A 19,719-nucleotide genomic window follows, 5' to 3' on the forward strand; every position below is an offset into this window, starting at 1 on the left:
AGCAGGGCAGGATCCGTCCACACACTCGTGTGTTTATTTATTTATGCAGCTCCAGCAAAGAAAATTAAAAACAGGGCTGGCCCCTGGCTGGGAGATGGAGCCTGACACTGCATATGCGTCTGTGAGACTCAGTCTGGTCCCGGATGCCCGACTCCTCGAGGTCTGTCTGTGCACTGGGCCAAGGCCCTGCTGGCCACAGAACATAGGCGGTGAGGGCTGCATAGGGAGGGGCTGTGGTTTCAGAGGCTGACGCAGCTGGCTGGCCTTCTGCTCCTTGTCTCCCGGAGGCTCCCTGCCCTCAGCAATAGAAGGTAAGACAAGGATCACATCCCAAGGTGGGAGGGGGCTCGTGCCAGCCCTGAAGGTGGTTGGAAGGTCTTTTTGTAGCAGCCAGGAAGGGCTGGCTCTGCTTCTAGATCCACAAAGCTGCTTGGATGGGGGCCGTCTCAGGCGGAGGGCCACGAGGGCTGAGGAGTGCAGGTCTACTCTGCCTCGGGCTGCCCAGGCGACATGCCCAGGGGTCTGTGTTTCTCCTGGAGCCTGTCAGGTTTGGGAGCACCCAGTGTGGTGGCCCAAGGTCCGAGGTCCAATCTAGGGAGGCAGTGGTGTTGGTGAACCTGGCCATGCTAACTTTGCTTAACTCTACCAAAAAAAAAAAAAAAAGAAAAAAAAAAAAAGGAAAGAAAGAAAGGTGTGGTAGGATATGGGTGACTTCTCTCTTTTGTCTTTTTCTGTTTTTAAGTTGATAGAATGTTTTTGTGTTTTGAACAGTTTAAATTAAGCAAAAAGTACAGAACGTTCCTATAAATCCCTTCAATACCCTGGTCCTTGCCACTTTCCTCTATATTACCATCTTACTAAACATTTGTTAGAATTGATGAGTCAGGGCAGGGAATTTAGGGGTGGATTAGTAACTGCTATGGAGAAAACTAGGGAAGTGGGAAAAGTTCAAAGTCATTATTCATTTTCGAGAAAACAAAAACGAAACAGAACAAGAAATGTGTAAAAGAAAGATGATTAAATTTTATACCTCATGGCTCAGTTGTGGATGCTTTTACCCACGGTGGTGTAAACACTGAGCATTTCTCTTTCTCCAGCTTTCTGGAGGTATAATTGACAAATAAAAATTATATATATTTAAAGTGTGCAAAGTAATGTTTTGATGCATGCATATGTTGTGAGATGAATACTACGATCAAAGTAATGAACATATCTGTCACCTGATGTAGTTGCCTTTTTTTGTGTGGTAAGAATACTTAAGATCTATTCTCTTAGAAAATTTCACGTGTACAATATTGAGTATAAATATACAGTACATTATTCTTAATGAGAGTCACCATGCTGTACATTAGGTCTCTGAAAATGTGTACCCTTTGGACTGTCTCCCCATTTTTAACGTCTTTCTCCCTCCCCTCCCCTCCCCTTTCCTTCCCTTCCCTTTGACAGGGTCTTGCTCTGTTGCCCAGGCTGGAGTGCAGTGGTGTGATCTCGGCTCACTGCAGCCTCTACCTCCCAGGCACAAGCGATCCTCCCAACTCAGAATCCCGAGTAGCTGGGACTACAGGCATGTGCCACCACACCCAGCTAATTTTTATTTTTTGTAGAGATGGGGTCTGGCCATGCTGCCCAGGCTCCTCTATATTTCTTACATATGTGAAGGCTCGATATGGCTCTCCCAGGAAGATGGGCAAAGGGGAATGTGTGAGGGGCTCTGGTCTGAGAACGAAATCCTCATGATTTTTGCTTCACAGCCAGTAGACAGTAGGTAATAACTAGAAAAAAGAGCAAATAGCAACCTAAACATATTACTCAGAAATGAGGTGATACTCGTAGACATGCTAAAATTGCTGAAAATGGTTGTTCCTGGAGAGTAGTAGTGGGGGTTGGTGTGGGAAACTGCAGCTTTTCATTATCAGCCATGTAATCCTATTACCCTGTATGACTTTGATAAAAATTTGAAAGAATATGTATTTTTGGTGTCGATTTCATATGTAAATAGATGCCTCTGAGCCAGAGTCAGCCCTCACACCTCTCTCTGTCCTTCCCACCCCCAACCTGGTAGCAAATCCTGTCGGTTTCACTGAGTTCACCTCTTAGCATGCCACCTCTCCCGCTGTGGCCCTAACTGCCATCATCTCCCGTTGGATTCTTGCGGGTGCCTCTTCCTGGGTCTCCTTGCTCCTCCTTGGCTGCAGACTGCCTTGCAGATGGTCTATTCCCCACAGAGCCCGGAGGGTCTGCCAACAGTGGAGTCATCTCTGCCACTCCTCAACTCACAGCAGCCTGTGGCTTGTCTCCTCCCATGGAGTAAAAGCCAATGATGTTACAAGAATCCACAAGGCCCTGGAGGGCCTCACCATTCCCCTCACATCTATCTGTCCTGCAGCACAATGCTGGTCCATGCCCAAGAGAGACTGTGTTGCCTGGAACACAACAGGAGCTCAGCACAGCCGAGGCTCAGGGCAGAACACGCTTCTCCTCCGACAGAGCAGGTGTTAAGGAAGTGCCTGCTATTGCGGTCACTGTGAACATTATTATTCTAGAATATGAGCACATTGTGAGACTCTTGCTGACTTGTTTGGTGTTTTGTACTGTTTTTTTTTTCTTTTTTTAAAAATTTTCATTTATTATTTTTGCTTTTTTATTAAAAAAATTTTTTTTTTTTTTTGTAGAGATGGGTGGGTGTGGTGGCATGTGCCTGTAGCCCCAGCTACTTGGGAGGCTGAGTTGGGAGGATCACTTGTGCCCAGTAAGTTGAGGCTGAAGTGAGCTAAGATCATGCCACTGTATACTCCAGCCTGGGCAACAGAACAAGACCCTGTCTCAAAAAAAAAAAAAAAAAAAAAAAAAAAAAAAAGGCTGGGCGCGGTGGCTCACACCTATAATCCCAGCACTTTGGGAGGCCGAGGTGGGCAGATCACCTGAGTTCGGGAGTTTGAGACCAGCCTGACCAACATGGAGAAACCTTGTCTCTACTAAAAATACAAAATTAGCCGGGTGTGGTGGCACATGCCTGTAATCCCAGCTACTCAGGAGGCTGAGACAGGAGAATAGCTCGAACCTGGGAGGCAGAGGTTGCGGTGAGCCGAGATTGCACCACGACACTCCAGCCTGGGCAACAAGAGCGAAACTCCATCTCAAAAAATAAAATTTAAAAAAAAAATAGAAGTACATTAAAAATGGGGAGACAGTCAAAGGGTACACATTTCCAGAGACCTAATGTACAGCATGGCCACTCTCATTAAGAATAATAGATCTCCCTATATTGCCCAGGCTGGTCTCAAACTTCTGGGCTTGGATGATCCTCCCCCCTCAACCTCCCAAAGTGCTGGGATTAAAGGTGCTAGCTGCTGTGCCCGGCCTATACTCTTTCGAGTGGCAGCTTTATACACACGAAGCAGGCTACAACTGCTGGTTTCTCATGTATGAGGGAAACACGAAATGATGGAGATTCACTCCTCTTCGTCACCCTAGAGGGTGGAACTGATACCTTTAAAGGCTGTCTCCAAGGAACTGGGCTGGATGGAACTGCCACGAGGGTCACAGGGGCTCAACAAAAAAGCCCTTCTGCAGCCATGCTCAGCTTGGGGCCTGGAGAGCTGCTCTAAGGTGCCAGAGCTTGGTTGGCAGGGGGCAGAGACTGGGTCCCACTTGTGTTAGAGGGCTGGCCCCCTGGGGTCAAAGGGGTGCTCCCAATATGCTGGCTGGGAGCGCATTCTTAGCTGGTTCTCAGGCTTCAGTCATGGAGACTGAAGGACCAAGGTGGAAAGTCAAGGAGAACGTTCCAGCTTCCAGGCTGCATGTCCACCTGTCCACGCTGCTTATCGTCTCTCTTCTTCTTTCTTTATTAGGAAATGTTTTGTATTAAGTAGAGCCCACTTAGAGCATCACAATTATTTTATATATTTTTCAAATCTTAATTTTATTTTTAAACTCACAATGAATACAAAAAATAGACTTCTATCAAAATTGAAACAATTTGCAAGTGTATGGGATAAAAGCATCCTCCTTTCCCACAATTTCACTTCCCTGCTCAGTATTATTTCATATAAATAGCCTATGTTCTTTTAGATTACTTTCTATGCATGTACCTCTATAAATGTGGGCATGCAAAGTGCATATATGTCAGTTATTCATACAGATAAATATATCTTTTCTTTCTTTTTTTTTTGAGATAGTCTCGCTTTGTCACTCAGGCTGGAGTGCAATGGCGCAATCTCAGCTCACTGCAACCTCTGCCTTCTGGGCTCAAGCAATTCTTCTGCCTCAGCTTCCCGAGTAGCTGGGATTACAGGTGCACGCCACCACACCCGGCTAATTTTTGTATTTTTAGTAGATACTAGGTTTCACTGTGTTGGCCAGGTTGCTCTCGAACTCCTGACCTCAAGTGATTGCCTGCCTCGGCCTCTGAAAGTGCTGGGACTACAGGCATGAGCCACCGTGCTTGGCCTATAAATATTATTCGTCACCTCCCTTTTTCATGTAATAGATGTCTGGGACATAGCCCTCTGCCAGTGCACAGTGACCCACCTTATTTCTTTAAATGCCTGCATAGTCACACACTGTATGGGTGCACCATATATTATTTAACCATTGTGTTATAGACAACTAAGTATTTTTCATTTGCTTATATATTCATTCATTCATTTACTTTTGCTGTTATAAATATTACTGTAGAGAACATCTTTAAATTTTTAACGACATCCTTTGTTATGCAAAAGTTTTAAAGTTTAATGTAGTCAACTGCAAGAGAAAGACACCCTTAACTGATTTAAGCAAAAGTAAAATGTATTGATTTATACAACTGAAAAACTCAGGAGTGAGACTTAGGTAGATTTAAGGGATTAAATAAGCCACCAGGATTGTTTATTTCAGCTCCATTCTCCTCCATGACAGAGTCATTCTTGGGCTCTGCAGGAGGTAAGATGGCTTCTAGTAGCTCCAGAACCATTTATGTTTTAAGTCCACTTAAAATGATTTGAGCAGAATAATAGAACCTCAGTCTAAAAAGTGGCTTAGTTCCCCCTTTCCCCATCCCACCCCACACATAACGAGAAGCCTGAAGGTAAGTAGCTCAGAGAATGACTCAGTAACTCAAAACCTAAGGCTCTAGGGAGATTTCTTTGTAATTCCGTGATTTATTTTGGTATAGCCCCAAAATGGCTGCCACTTGCTGTGTTCACACAACAGTGTCCAATGAAGGTAGGAAAGCAAGCCTTTTGTCAGGCACATCTCTCTTTTATCAGACACGTCAAATCCCCCCCAGAACCCTCCACCTCCCCACCCTACACCCCAACAGACACTCCCTCAGAGTCCACTGGCTGGACTGATTCATGTGATTCTGCCTTCCCTGCAAAGGAGGATGGGAAAGCAAGGAACGGGCACTCTCAGCCTCTGGATTGGGGAACTAAGGGGTGGGGAGCTGTTGGGTGGACATCCAGCAGAGCCTGACCCAGGGAGCATCTCTCCCAGTCACTCCTGCTCCAGAGCCAGGGCTCACTCTGCTTGGATTAATTCCTGCCACATGCTCATCCTGAATCACTTCCAGGTCAGAGGGATTTACCAGCTAATTGGCCAGACCTGGTCACGTTTTCTATCCTTAGATCCAAACCTGGAGCTCATCTTGAACCTGGTGATGGGCAACAGGAGAGTGACTGCTTGGTTACCAGGGTCTGGTTACCAGAAGATGGGGCAATGAATGCCAGAAACTCAAATTATGAAATTTGCACTAGCAAAGCCACATGCACTTGGAATAATCATTATTGGTGTTCTTGTCAATTTCAGAGCATGAGTTTCTGGCTAATGCTGACTTTTAGTAACTTCCTCTCCATCACTATTATCCTCTCAGCAGTGAATGGTGAAAAGGACTTTTTAATGAGCTCTTTTCCTTTTCCTCTGCACTTCCCTTGTTCTCACCTTCCCCTACCCAGGCAATCTGCCTCTCTGGAAATCAGTGTCTTTTAGGTGAGAATTCAGGGACCCTCAGTTTAGACCAGTGTCACTGTGGGCCAAGTTCAGTGCCCAGTAAAGCCACAGGTATCTTTCAAAGTCTCACTTCTAGCCTTTACCTCTTTAGATACTCTGTAGAGGTAGATGTCATTGTGAAGCATAATGACATCTCTCCATCTTCTACGGGCATTCTACTTCACCATCCTAAATGCAAGCCTTCCAATCTGACTTTTCTCTCCCCACGTACCCATTAGCAGCTTATAAAGAATCAGAACCACACCAAGCCTTGAAATCAGTGTGTTCCAGCATGGGCTCAGCTATAAAAACAATTTGAGTGCTCACAGCTTTAAAATGACTTGGCAGCCTGTCTATAAAATGTCCTGTAGCCTGAAAGCGGGTGAGAACATGCCTGCATACATTAGTGATCCATTGATTGTTTCTGGAGCTAGGTAACCTTTGTATACGAAAATGAGAGAACAGCTGAGGCCTGATCAATCAAACCAGCCATTAAGAATCTTGCCTAGTCCATAGGCCTGCTCCATCTCAGGGTTCCCAGGGAGAAAAATAAAAAGAAAACAAGTTTTAGCCATAAATGCGGGGAATAGGAGACAGGTCTGGACAAAGGTTGGGAAGGTTGAAGATTTCATTCCACTGGCAGTTTGTGACTTTCCCTAACCCACTCCTGGGCTAAATACAGGGGAGCAAAATGCAAAATGACATTGGGGTTCTGAGACCACGGCATACCCTGTAAGATGATTGTCCTGCCATTTCCTGCAGCTGCCTATCTACAGGCAATAGAGGGTGCACATGTATGATCAGGGCAAATAAATACAGGGAAGGGGGCAGGGGAAGAGGACTCCAAATTTGTCTCTTCTCAGCAAGAGGTTCTCTGTGAGTTCTTTTGGGCCAAGAAACAAAATTCACCATCCCCAGCCTAACCACAAACTATGACTGTGCCTAATTCAATAAAAATATCAGATGGGGAGAATGGATGTCAATTACCTGGAGCTTCATATTAAACAGGGAGTGATGGATTATTAAGTAGTATTCTGTATTTAACCTCAGATATTTCAGAAATTTTGAATACAATTTTCTTTAGCAGGAAGTTCATTTTAATTCTTAAAAAAGAACATACACTTTTAGAGGATATATCCTTCGTTTAAAAGTCTAATTTGGGAAACACTCATATATAGCCAAGAGATTTGGAGGGATGTTCATTGAACATAGTTTGTTTTACAAAAATTTGGAAGATGTATTAGTTTCTTATTCTTTCTGTAACAAATCATTATAAACTTCATGTCTTAAAACAACACCCGTTTATTCTCTTACAGTTCTGGAGTCTGAAATGGGTTGACAAGGCTGCTCTTGGGGAGAATCCATTTCCTTGCCTTTTCTAGCTTCCAAGGACCACCTGCATTCCTTAGCTCATGGCCCTATCCTCCATCTTCAAAGGCAGCAATGGAGCATCTTCCAATCTCTCTCTCTCTCTCTATTTCTGTTGCCACATCACTAGTTTCTGACTCTGTCCCCTCTTCCTCCTTTTTTTTTTTTTTTTTTTTTTTTTTTTTGAGGCAGAGTCTCACTCTGTTGCTCAGGCTGGAGTGCAGTGACGCTAGCTTGGCTCACTGCAGCCTCCATCTCCCCAGTTCAAGAGATTCTTATGCCTCAGCCTCCTGAGTAGCTGGGATTACAGGTGCATGCCACCATGCCCAGCTAATTTTTGTATTTTTAGTAGAGATGGGATTTTGCCATGTTGGCCAAGTTGGTCTTGAACTCCTGGCCTGAACTGATTTGCCTGCCTCGGCCTCCCCAAAGTGCTGATGTTACAGGAGTGAGACACTGTGCTCGTTCTTCCTCTAAAAAACAACAACAACGACAACAAACAAACAAAAAAATTTTATTTTAGGTTCAGGGGTACATGTGTAGGTTTTATAATATAGATAAACTTGTGTCATGGGGGTTTGTTGTACAGATTATTTCATCGTCCAGGTATTAAGCCTAGTACCCATTAGTTATTTTTTCCTGATCCTCCACCTCCTCCAACCCTCCACCCTCTGATAGATCCCAGTGTCTGCTGTTTCTATGTGTCCATGTGTTCTTATCATTTAGCTTCCACTTATAAGTGAAAACATGTTATTTGGTTTTCTGTTCCTGCATTAGTTTGCTGAGGATGATGGCCTCCAACTCCATCCATGTTCCTGCAAAGGACATGATTTTGTTCTTTTTTATGGCTGCATAGTATTCCGTGGTGTATATGTACCACATTTTCATTATCCAGTCTACCATTTATGGTTTCATGTCTTTGCTGTCGTGAATAGTGCTGCAGTGAACATACAAGTGCATGTGTCTTTATGATAGAATGATGTGTATTCCTCTGGGTACATACCCAGAACAGACGCATGCCACCACAGAATACATGTGGCCGGCCGGGCGCAGGGGCTCACACCTGGATTCCCAGCACTTTGGGAGGCCAAGTCGGGCAGATCACGAGGTCAGGAGATCGAGACCATCCTGGCTAACATGGTAAAAACCTCTATCTACTAAAAATCCAAAAAAAAAATTAGCCGGGCATGGTGGCAGGCACCTGTAGTCCCAGCTGCTTGGGAAGCTGAGGCAGGAGAATGGCGTGAACCCGGAGGCGGAGCTTGCAGTGAGCTGAGATTGCACCACTGCACTCCAGCCTGGGGGACAGAGCGACACTCCATCTCAAAAAAAAACAAAAAAACAAAAAAAGAATACATGCGGCCAAGAAGCATATGAGAAGAAGCTCAATATCACTAATCATTTGAGAGATGCAAATCAAAACCACAGTGAGATATCATCTCACACCAGTCAGATGGGCTACTATTAAAAAGTCAAAAACGACAAGTGGTTGGTGGGGTTTCAGAGAAAAAGGAACCCTTATACACTGTTAGTGAGAGTGTAAATTAGTTCGACCATTGTGAAAAGCAGTGTGGTGATTCCTCAGAGACCTTCCCCCGTCTTATAAGGATCCCTGAGATTACATTAGGCCCTTGTGGACAATCCAGGTTAATCTTTCCATCTTAATATTCTTAATTGTATCTGCAAAGTCCCTTTGGTCATGTAAGATAACATTCACAGATTCTGTGGATTAGGATGTGAACAGCTTTGGGGGCACAATTATTCAGTCCACCCCAAAATAATTTACAGCAGTCAGAACAGCCTAGCTTATGCCACAGTAATAAGCACCATGACTGGGCACGCTGGCTCACGCCTGTAATCCCAGCACTTTAGGAGGCCAAGGCAGGAGGATCACGAGGTCAAGAGATCGAGACCATCCTGGCCAACGTGATGAAACCTCGTCTCTACTAAAAATACAAAAATTAGCTGGGCGTGGTGGTGGTGCGTGCCTGTAGTCCCAGCTACTTGGGAGGCTGAGACAGGAGAATCACTTGAACCCGAGAGGTGGAGGTTGAAGTCAGCTGAGATCACACCACTGCACTCCAGCCTGGCCACAGAGCGAGACTCCATCTCATAAAAACAAACAAACAAAGAAAGAAAAAAAACAAGCACCACAAAAATACCAGGGGCTTGAACAGCTAAGGTTTTTAATTTTTTTATTTTTTTTTATTTTTTGAGACAGAGTCTCACTCTGTCACCCAGGCTGGAGTGCAGTGGCACGATCTCGGCTCACTGCAAGCTCTGCCTCCTGGGTTCACGCCATTCTCCTGCCTCAGCCTCCCGAGTAGCTGGGACTACAGGCACCCGCCACCACGCTCGACTAATTTTTTGTATTTTTAGTAGAGACGGGGTTTCACAGTGTTAGCCAGGATGGTCTCGATCCCCTGACCTCGTGATCCGCCCGCCTCGGCCTCCCAAAGTGCTGGGATTACAGGCGTGAGCCAGCGCGCCTGGCCCTGATGTTGTTTTTCACTCATGCTGCATGTGCCTCAGGTAGGTGGGGCTTCTGCTCTACGTCATGCCCACTCAGGGATCCTGTAGAGGGTGACTTTCTCTTCATGCTCCTGTGACAGCCCAGGCAGGACAAAGGGCACCTGGAAGATCAGGGACTGCCTCTTAAGCTTCTGCCTGGAAGTGACACATAGGACTTGTGCTTTCACTTCATTGCTCAATATTAAGTCCCAAGATCATGACTACCTTCAGTGCAGGGCAGAGAAGGGCAGTTGCACTGCCACCTGCCCAGAGGGCAGAGAATCGGAACTAGTTCACAAACGTCCTCATGACCACTCACAGCCTAAGTGTCCATCCTTAGGGGAAAGGTGATATGAACTAGGGTAATATGATTTGGCTCTGTGTTCCCATCCAAATCTCATGTCAAATTGTAATCCTCAATGTTGGAGGAGGGGCCTGGTGGCAGGTGACTGAATCATGGGGACAGACTTACCCCTTGCTGTTCTTGTGATTAGAGCTCTCCTGAGATCTGCTTGTTTAAAAGTGTGTAGCACCTCCTTACTCTCTGTCTTCTGCTGGCCATGTGAAGATATGCCTGCTTCCCTTCCGCCTTCTGCCATGATTGTGAGTTTCCTGAGGCCTCCCCAGAAGCAGAAGGCTGTGCAGCCCACAGAACCTTGAGCTGATCAAACCTGTTTTCTTTATAAATTACCCTGTATCAGGTATGCCTTTATAGCCGTGTGAGAACGAACTAATACATGGGGGTTAGCTCCAGACATAGACACATACAGACCACAGCAGGTATAAGGGAGGAGGTATCTGTATGCAGCAAGGCCGACAGGTCTCTAGTGCATCTGGTTGAGGGGGGAAAAGCAAGATGCTAGACCATATGTGATGTGAGAAGCCATCTATAGAAACATGTGCATACAAAAATATGGTCTTGTCTTTATAGGCACACAAATAGGTAGAACTGGGGAATCAGGTCTGGACACCAGCACACTGATATCAACACCATGGGCAGTTATGGAGTGGGGTCAGGCCCAGGAAGGAGATGATGAGGGGGGACTTTGCTCCTGTTTATAGCGTTTTGATCTTTTAAAATATTTAAATAATTAAAAAGTTCCTCTGTCTATTATATGGGGAGAATGCATTAGTTATTGTCTGCAATTGTCTTACCAAAGGTAGAATAAAATTACTGATAAGGATTCCTTAGGTGTGGGAGTGGGGAGAATGGAGGGTGAGCTGGAGAAATCACCAAAGAGAGCTGGAGGCTGAGCTGTTGGTGTCTCAGAATAACAGAGATAAAAAGATCCTGGGGCATTATGTTGCTCCATGATTCATTTGCTTGCATGTCAACAGTGGTACAACTCAGGCCTGAGAAGGAGTGACCTACTCAAGGCCCCAGGGCTAGTTGGGGAGGAAGCCGGGGAGAATGTAGAGCGCCTAACTCCCATTCCAGTGCTCCTCTTCCCACCAGTAGCCAGCCTGGACATAGGAGAGGAGCCAGGCCCAGGCTTCAGCTCAGTCCCTTACTTGCTGTGTGTCCTCAGGCAAGTCACTTCCCCTCTCTGTGCCCAGTTTTATTTTTTCATCTACAATAAGGTAGAGTTGTAAGAATTCCCTGACATCCTCCTACAAACTACATCAAACTAAATGTAGCTTGTGAGAGCTATTTTGCACGATTTTGTAAAGAATTAAAGTAATGATGTTATTATTAATGTATTAATATCTAGGTATTAATTATAATGAAATGATTATCATCCTTAATAATTCTGTTTTATTATTAATATTAGTGATAATTATTAATAACCTACATAAAAGGATAGCATAAGCTTTAAACTAGGATAAAAGTTCTAGGACAAGCTGGGAGTGGTGGCTTATGCCTGCAATCCCAGCACTTTGGGAGGTCAAGGCGAGTGCATCACCTGAGGTCAGGAGTTCAAGGCCAGCCTGGCCAACACGGCAAAACCCTGTCTCTACTAAAAATACAAAAATTAGCAGGGCATGCTGGCAGACACCTGTAACCCCAGCTACTTGGGAGGCTGAGGCAGGAGAATCGCTTGAACCTGGGAGGGGGAGGCTGCAGTGAGCCAAAATTGTGCCACTGCACTCTAGCCTGGGCAACAGAGTAAGAATCTCTCTCAAAAAAAAAAAAAAAAGTTCTAGGACAAGAACACTGACTTCTCTTGTTCAAACCATCTTGTTCATAAACCTACCTGTGGCATGACCAGACTCGGAAAGTGAGGGCATTTCCTGAAGGAGCCAACTCCTCATGCCAGGGATCTTCTGAGGTGCCTATGTCTGCAGCATTGGGAGCAGCTGAGACTCAGGGGTTCAGCAAAGGGCTAAGGTGAATTCTCCTGAACCCTGCAGGTCTCACTGAGGACAGGCTGGTGCCAGATCCTGTAACTGGGAGAGCCTTCTGCCAGCCTCTGACCATGGAGTTAAACCTGGGAGGGGCGCAGTTGTCCAAGATCCATTTTGGGGATTTAAAAATTTCTGTAATTTCATGAACTCTTCCAGGAACAAGTGACATAAATATTTTTCTCTTTCTTCCTCTCTTTTAAAAAGTGCTGCTTGTGCTTTGTCCCCACCTTCTTCCTCTCTACGCATTTGGGTTTTCAGGAAAAGCTGACCTCTCATGACCTGCAGAAAATTTCTTTTCCATTATCCCATGAATTTTGCATCATGTGACATTGTCACTGAGCAATGACCCCTAGTATAGCCTTCACGGTGCCTTTGCTTTGGCTGACACTGGCTCCTTAGACGGCCGTTCACCCCGCCCTGGGTCTGGGGTGGGATGTCAGGAAACTAGGTCTTCTTGGCACCCCCAAGCTGCCTGGGCATCAACCTTTCAGACTCCTCAGATTTAGGGCTCAAGGAATGGCCCAGACATCAGTGTCTGATGATCAAACAAGCCAACAGCGGGAGGGAAAATGATCCTTTCATAGAAGCAAACCTGTCAGTGGGATGGGGCCGGCCCCTGAGCTCAGGACGCTGGGGCTTTTGCTGTGTGCCGTGGGCAAGAGGCTCCCTCTGCATGCCTGGTTCCCTCCTCCGGAAAGTAGGAGAGCGGCAGTACCCACCCCATGGGGTGGACGAGTGGCTTCCCTGGAGCACGCGAGTATCCAGCCAGCAGAGCCCTGTGTGAGAAAGTGCCCTGTGTGTGTGTGGCCTGGAAACCCCCAAGTGGTCTAGTCTCCTGTGGATTATGGACCCTCCTGCAGCCCCTAAGGCAGTCACGCTTCTTATGAATGTTGTTCCACTTTACAGACTGGGGAAAGGTCAGGGGGCGGGCCTTGTCAAGGTCACACAGCTGGAGAGCTGGCAGCTGGATTTCAACCCAAGTCCCTGACCCAATTCCACAGCCCTTGATTTTAAGCAAACACACATCCTCTCTGTGGCACCATCACTATCCAAGAAATAGCAGAGTCAGGCGGGGCTAGTTGGACGCCCTCTGATCTATTTATTTTTCAGCGTCTGCTTCATAAACCCTTGGACATCCACCTGAATTTTCCTTATTGCTGTTAACCTCATCTTCCAATTACGCAAAATGTTTCAACCAATTAGCCCCTTGTTGCAGGAGTCTCATCTTTGGCTGACATTTGGTGCTGTGTGTCTTGGTCCTGACTGACAAAGGCAGCACAGCAACTGCTCATGTCAGCCTCGTTTTCTCCAAAGGGAAAAGGGCTCCATGACTAGTCGGGCATCTGGGGGACCCAGGAGCTCCAGTAGCTGCTGAGCAGGCAAAGAAAGGCTGATTAAAACCCACACACCAAGGCCGGGCTCAGTGGCTCACGCCTGTAATTCTAGCACTTTGGGAGGCTGAAGTGTGGATTTCCTGAGCTCAGGAGTTCAAGAACAACCTGGGCAACATGGTGAAACCCCATCTCTACTAAATACAAAAAATTAGCTGGGCGTGGTGGGACCCACTTGTAGTTCCAGCTACTCGGGAAGCTGAGGCACGAGAATTGCTTGAACCCGGGAGGTGGAGGTTGCAGTGAGCCGAGATCATGCCACTGCACTCCAGTCTGGGTAACAGAGTGAAACTCCATCTCGAAACAAAACAACAACAAAAAGCACATGCCAAGGTGGAAACTATGTTTCATGGTTTCTTTAAAAAGCACAAAGATTGGGAGGTGCTAACGACACAGTCTGATAAAACTCTGTGGTTTTGGTGTTTTCTGTATATAGACACCCTGAGGTTCACATGTCGCCTTTCCCTTGGCATTTAAGGCTCCAAGGAACCCTCTGTTTTGCTTGGTTTCCCAATTAACCCCTCATTCATTCATTCATTCATTCAAGAGGTTACTGAGTGTCTGCAATGTGCCAGGCACTGTTCTTCACTCAAAGTCTAAAGCAGGGGATCCAAAACCAAGGTTCTGATGCTATGGAGCTCATGCTCCGGTCAAGGACAATCAATAAAAAGACAAAATGTGGCCGGGCACGGTGGCTCATGCCTGTAATCCCAGCACTTTGGGAGGCCGAGATGGGTGGATCATGAGGTCAGGAGATCAAGACCATCCTGCTAACATAGTGAAACCCCGTCTCTACTAAAAATACAAAAAAATTAACTGGGCATGGTGGCGGGCGCCTGTAGTCCCAGCTACTCGGGAGGCTGAGGCAGGAGAATGGCCTGAATCCGGGAGGCGGAGCTTGCAGTGAGCCGAGATCACGCCACTGCACTCCAGCCTGGGCGACTGAGCGAGACTCCGTCTCAAAAAAAAAAAAAAAAAAAAAAGACAGAATGTGTCTTGTGTGTACCAGGAGGAGGCTGATGCTGAGTGGGAAAATGAAGCCAGGAAGGGGGGTTGGGTGGAAGTGGGGATCCTCAGAGAAAGCTGTCATGGAGCAGAGACCTGAAGGCCACAAAGGTGGGAGACAGGCTAATATCTTGGGGAAAGGCAGAGGGAACAGCAAGTGCAAAGGCCCTGGGGCAGGAGCATGTTCCAGCAGCAGTGAGGGACCAGTATGGCCACAGCAGAGTGGAGGGAGATGCATGGACAGAGAAGCCAGAGAGGCAGGGAGGCCAGACACCCACAAAGCCTCATGGGCCGCTGTGAGGATCTGGGTTTTATCTTAGTGACTCCGGAGGACTTTGAGGGATTTTGAACAGAGGGAAGAAATATTATTTTCTTTGATATTCATTTTCTATTGCTGTGTAATACATGACCACAATCTTAGTAGCTGAACATGACACAGGTTTATTACTGTGTGGTTTCTGGGGGTAAAGGAGTCAAGCATGTTAGAGCTGGCTCTCTGCTCAGGTCCCCACAAGCCTGAAATCCACATGTTAGTTGGTTGCGTCCTCATCTAGGGGCTCCACTTGGGAAAGATCCACTTCCAAACTCCCCCGGGTTGTTGGACAGAATCAGTTTCCCTTGGCGCTGAAGGGCCAAAGACCCTGTGTCTTTCTAGCTGTCAGCTCATCACCACACTCAGCCTCTGGCTGTTGCTCCCAGGCCCTCGACACATGGTCCCCTCCATCGTTCCTTCCCAAAGAACTCAGCTTCTTTCAATAATTTGCTTGATTAGGTCAGGTCCATCCAGACTCTTTCACCTTTGATCAACTCAAAGTCAGTCGGTTAGCAACCTAATCCATGGCACGATATCCCATCAGATTTTGTTTCTGCCCAGACTCTAAAGGAGGGAAGGAGCAATCATGGGGCCATCTTGGAATCTTGCCTGTGACTTGTAGTTAGAAAGATTTTTCTGACCATTGTGCTCAGAATAGGATAGGGGAGCAGCTGGGGCAAGTGCAGACTCTGGGAAATCAGAGAGGAGACGGTTTCCTTTTCAATAGTGATGGACCATGGCAGTAGCAGTTGTGACGACAGAAGTGTTTGAAGCGTGGTTGAAGTGGTTGTAAAATGGATGGGATGTTTTTGTAAAATGGTTTGAAGGAGAACAATAAAACCCATACAGGTTGACTCCAAGCTTTCTGGTCTGATCACCCTGAATGCTGAGCTGTGGGAGTGTATTGTGTTTATCGAGAAGTGTGCAGATTGCCAAAGGATTCGCTTTGTGTTTACAGAGTTAAAGGTAGACAGGTGCTCCGGGTTTGTGATTTTTAAAAAATAAAAATAATAATACAGTATCTATACAGATGAGACTTGTCGTCCCGTTAGGATCCCAATTTGTGACTTTCCTCTTTTAAGAGAATAATACAGAAAAGCAAATGAGATCTGCAATTTGATCAGCATTTGTTTTTTCAGCTGCTGGTTCCTGAAAAAAAATTGTAGCACGCGAGAATCAGCGACAATAATTTGTGGAAGAATTACAAATAGGCCAGGAGTTGGCTGGCTTTACTGGTTTTGACTTGAATTAGATGTAAGACAGATGAGTCGAATGAGGTCTGTTTTGCAGCAGAAAGTATTGCAATGTCACAAGGGGCCATAAAGGTGCCTAAACTGAGCAGAAACATATGTTCTTCAGAAATTAGCTGTTAGGTACGAGCCTTTCTCTTGTTGATGCTATCGGTATGAAATCCAATATTATCCCAGGGAAAGGAAATAAGGCCACTTAGCTGTTGGATGACAAGCTGTCTTACACTCCATCAAACCCACCCGTTTACTTGTCACACGGCTTGTACCGCTCAGGAAGATAAGAGACGTCGTATCTCTGCTTTTCCTCATGGTGTGTTTTGGAATAGATGCCAGCTTGATGTGTTGACCACGGTATGCGGGGCCATTCAATAAAGACAGATCCTTGGCCAAATGTTCTGTATTTTTCCAAATACAAAAGACAAACTAATAAAATCAATGCAGCCATGCTGAACACCAGCACAGAGGGCTCCCTCCTGCGCTGCCACGTGCTTCCCACCAGGGAAATGGATCAGACGCAGCCACGTGGCCCGTGCTACCTGATGTCTTTGGAAAATTATGCTTTTGTTTTAATTTTAGAATAAAAGTTGTTGAGAAGTCACTCTGGCAATCCCCTGCCCACCAAGAACAGGCGCTATCAAGAGTGGATATTGCAGAAACGCTTCCTCTCCCTACAAACCTTCCAGGGTAAGCATGGAGGGAGAGGCTAAGCCTTCTCTTCATTCCCTTGCCACTGTCTTCTTGACCCAAAGATGAGGGGCTTCCATCTCTAAATCTCCCAGGCAAAAATTCTAATAGCTGAGAGACAGAAAGCAGCTCAAATATTAAACCACAGATGGCCTGCCATTTTTGTTTGAAGGGCTGGAATTTTCAGTTAATGCTGGGGGAAGTAAGAAAGTCAACTCAGTTGCTCTGTCCAGTAATTCACCATTGCTGGGCTTTACTGAACAAAGGCAAACTCTGACGACATGATCATGATTGAAAGAGGCAGCTGAGCAGGTGAGCTCCTCCTGTGGCTCCCTCTCAGCATCTTGTGCTGCCATTGTGTGTTTAGGTATTCATGTCTCTGACTAAGACAGTGAGCTCCTCGAGGAAGGTACTTGTGCCTCGATCATCCTAGAACCCTCCACGCCCAGTACGCACAGGGCCAGCACCTAGCAGACATTCAGTGTGTATGTAAGCCTCTGTCCTGGTCTGAACAGGGGAGTGCCCGTGTGAGCCTGTTTGCTGCCTTAATTATTAATAGCATTCCCGTATGACCCAACCTATCACTAAACCTCAGTGTTGCTCCCTACCTAAGCAGAGGAACTTCATTGCAAGAATATTGAGTGGCTTAATGACGAGGTAATTTCTTGCCTCGTATGATGAAAAAAAGTCAACCAGGAACTGGCTGAGCACACCTGGTTTGCACAAGGTGGTCCTCGTCAGTGCTGGTTGTTTTGCTGTAATTGTGAATGGTGCTGCCTTTCGCACTTAACACATGTCCTGAGTTGGCGAGTAAGTTATCTGGTCATCTTTGGCATCATCATCAGGCATAGCAAATCCAGCGGTCATCAGGGCATCTTAGAGTTGGCTTAGCTCTTGGGGACCAAAGGGATGTAAAAATTGCCCCAGGATGTATTTTACTAAGGTTGTCAAACGATGAGTTAGGGTCGGCTGGTTTTCTAGTAGCTTTCAAAAAGCCCGAGATTAACTCAGATGGAATCAGCTTAGGTCACGTGCCCACCTGTGATAAGTTCTTGTTGCCGGGGCAACGCTGGTGCTGATAGGTTTAACCTGGATCATAGGTCCCAGCCCCTGACTCTGGGATGTTTTTCTCTCCACACTACATTGGCTGGGTAGGGGTGGGGAGAGTTTTCTAAATGAAAATCAAGTTGCTGCCATAAACTCCCCTCACTAAAAGGCATGTCCTTTTGACATGGAGATTTTTGTCCATTTTGTTCAATGCTGTATTTTGAGCATCTAGAATGATAACACTCAACAGTGGAAGCTCCTTAAATATCTGTTGAATGAATAAATACTGAGAAGACAAATAGAAAGTTTTCCTGAGGCAGCCTTCTGTATAAAATAGGATACACTTTATTGCTCCAGATGCTCCGTGAAGCAGTAACAAACTGCAGGTAGGCAAGACAACCTCCCTCAAGAGAATCATCCTTTGGTGTTGAAAAACATATTGGAAATCACTGACGGTGGCCTATACAGGTCTCTCGTATGCTGACGGTACAAACTCTCCACACATTTCAAGCACTGGGCTTGGTCTGCCATGTTGACAGAATCACGATGCCTGCCTCACAGCAAGGGCAGCTCCCTCCCACAGTGAAACTGAGCTCCAGAGGAAGTAGGGTTTCCACAAGTCAGTTCAGTTCTCTCCTTTCAATGTTGTATTCATCTGCTTTATATTTCTGTAAAGGAATACCCGAGACTGAGTAATTTATGCAGAGAAGAGGTTTATTTGGCTCGCAGTTTTGCAGACTGTACAAGAAACACAAGAAGCGTGGCACCAGCATCTGCTTCTGATGAGGCCTCAGGAAGCTTTTACTCATGGCAGAAGGTGAAGGGGAGTCTGGGTGTCACATGGTGAGAGAGGGAGCAAGAGAGCAGGGGTTGGGGAGGTTCCAGACTCTTTTTAACAACCAGATCACAAGAGAACTCATTACCATGGTAGGACACCAAGCCATTTCATGAGCGATTCACCTCTGTGATCCAAACAGCTCCCACCAGGCCCCACTTCCAACACTGGGGATCACATTTTACCATGAGATTTGGAGGGAACAAACATCCAAATCCTATCAGGTGTGAAATGCACATGATAGGAGCATTTTCTCATTGAGTTCATGTGGATAAACTCGGGTCCATCCTGCAAGTGTTTTGAAATCATTTACAGAAGTTCCTCAAGGGCAGGAATTACATCCTCTGTTCCTGGCATGATGCCTGGTAGCCAAAAGGGGCTGTAAACTGTGACTTTGGGGCTGAGAAGGTGAATTCCCCTACCTGGGATTTGTCAGTCTCTCAAAAGAGTCATGCTGTGGTCCCATCCCATGGTAAAGACTGAACATATTGGATGGGAGAGAGGGGTAGACAGGGTGGGAGTTGCTGGTATTGGATCTTCTGCCATGCCAACCACCTCCCTTCCTTGGCACATTTCTCCAGCTGCTGCATTCACCAGCCAGGATCCTTTGGCTGCAAGCAATGGAAGCTGGCTTTGGTCAGCCTTACCAAAACATGGATCTGTGGACAGATGTGGGGTAGCTCGGAGAACACAGAAGGGCTAAGGGACCAGGTGACAGAAGGACTAGACCTGGGTCAAGTCTGAGAAATCTCTTTGAGGCATACATTTTGGGGTGAGGGCCTACTCACTCTTGTTTCTTGTCTCAGTCCCCTCAAGGTAAAATTTCCCAGGAGGGAAGTGTGGGCTTGGGCCCCACGCTCACTCTCTGGCAGAGCACCTTGGTCATCCATTCCTGAGATGGTGACCAAGTGGGCATGGGATCCTCGAGGGGAACTTGAAGTCCAGGGCAGAAGAGTGGGGAATGGGCACTGGCCGGTCTACAGCACCAGAGGCCTGCCCCAGCCC

General features: G+C 46.4%; 1 long non-coding RNA gene across 8 annotated transcripts in view, besides 1 other annotated feature; it reads left to right on the forward strand.

The window, feature by feature from the left end:
* Positions 1 to 264: 264 nt before the first annotated feature.
* The window catches only part of LOC105372639 (uncharacterized), a 41,073-nt gene continuing 21,618 nt past the window's right edge, over positions 265 to 19,719 (forward strand). For 6 of the 8 annotated variants that reach the window (XR_007067629.1, XR_007067628.1, XR_007067630.1 and 3 more), the window contains exon 1: positions 265 to 311. This is a non-coding gene — a long non-coding RNA (uncharacterized LOC105372639). Of the gene's footprint in view, positions 312 to 16,724; positions 16,833 to 19,719 lie in introns of all 8 variants that reach the window. The other 2 variants (XR_936798.3, XR_007067625.1) reach the window with 1 other exon arrangement.
* Positions 2,365 to 2,414: an enhancer, noted in NCBI's record as "active region_18013". NCBI's record gives its function as "activates an Ori minimal core promoter by ATAC-STARR-seq in GM12878 lymphoblastoid cells {active_cell/tissue: GM12878}" and the evidence as "EXISTENCE:reporter gene assay evidence [ECO:0000049][PMID:35858748]".

This window comes from Homo sapiens, chromosome 20 (genome assembly GCF_000001405.40).
Source record: "Homo sapiens chromosome 20, GRCh38.p14 Primary Assembly".
Classification (NCBI taxonomy): Eukaryota; Metazoa; Chordata; class Mammalia; order Primates; family Hominidae; genus Homo; species Homo sapiens.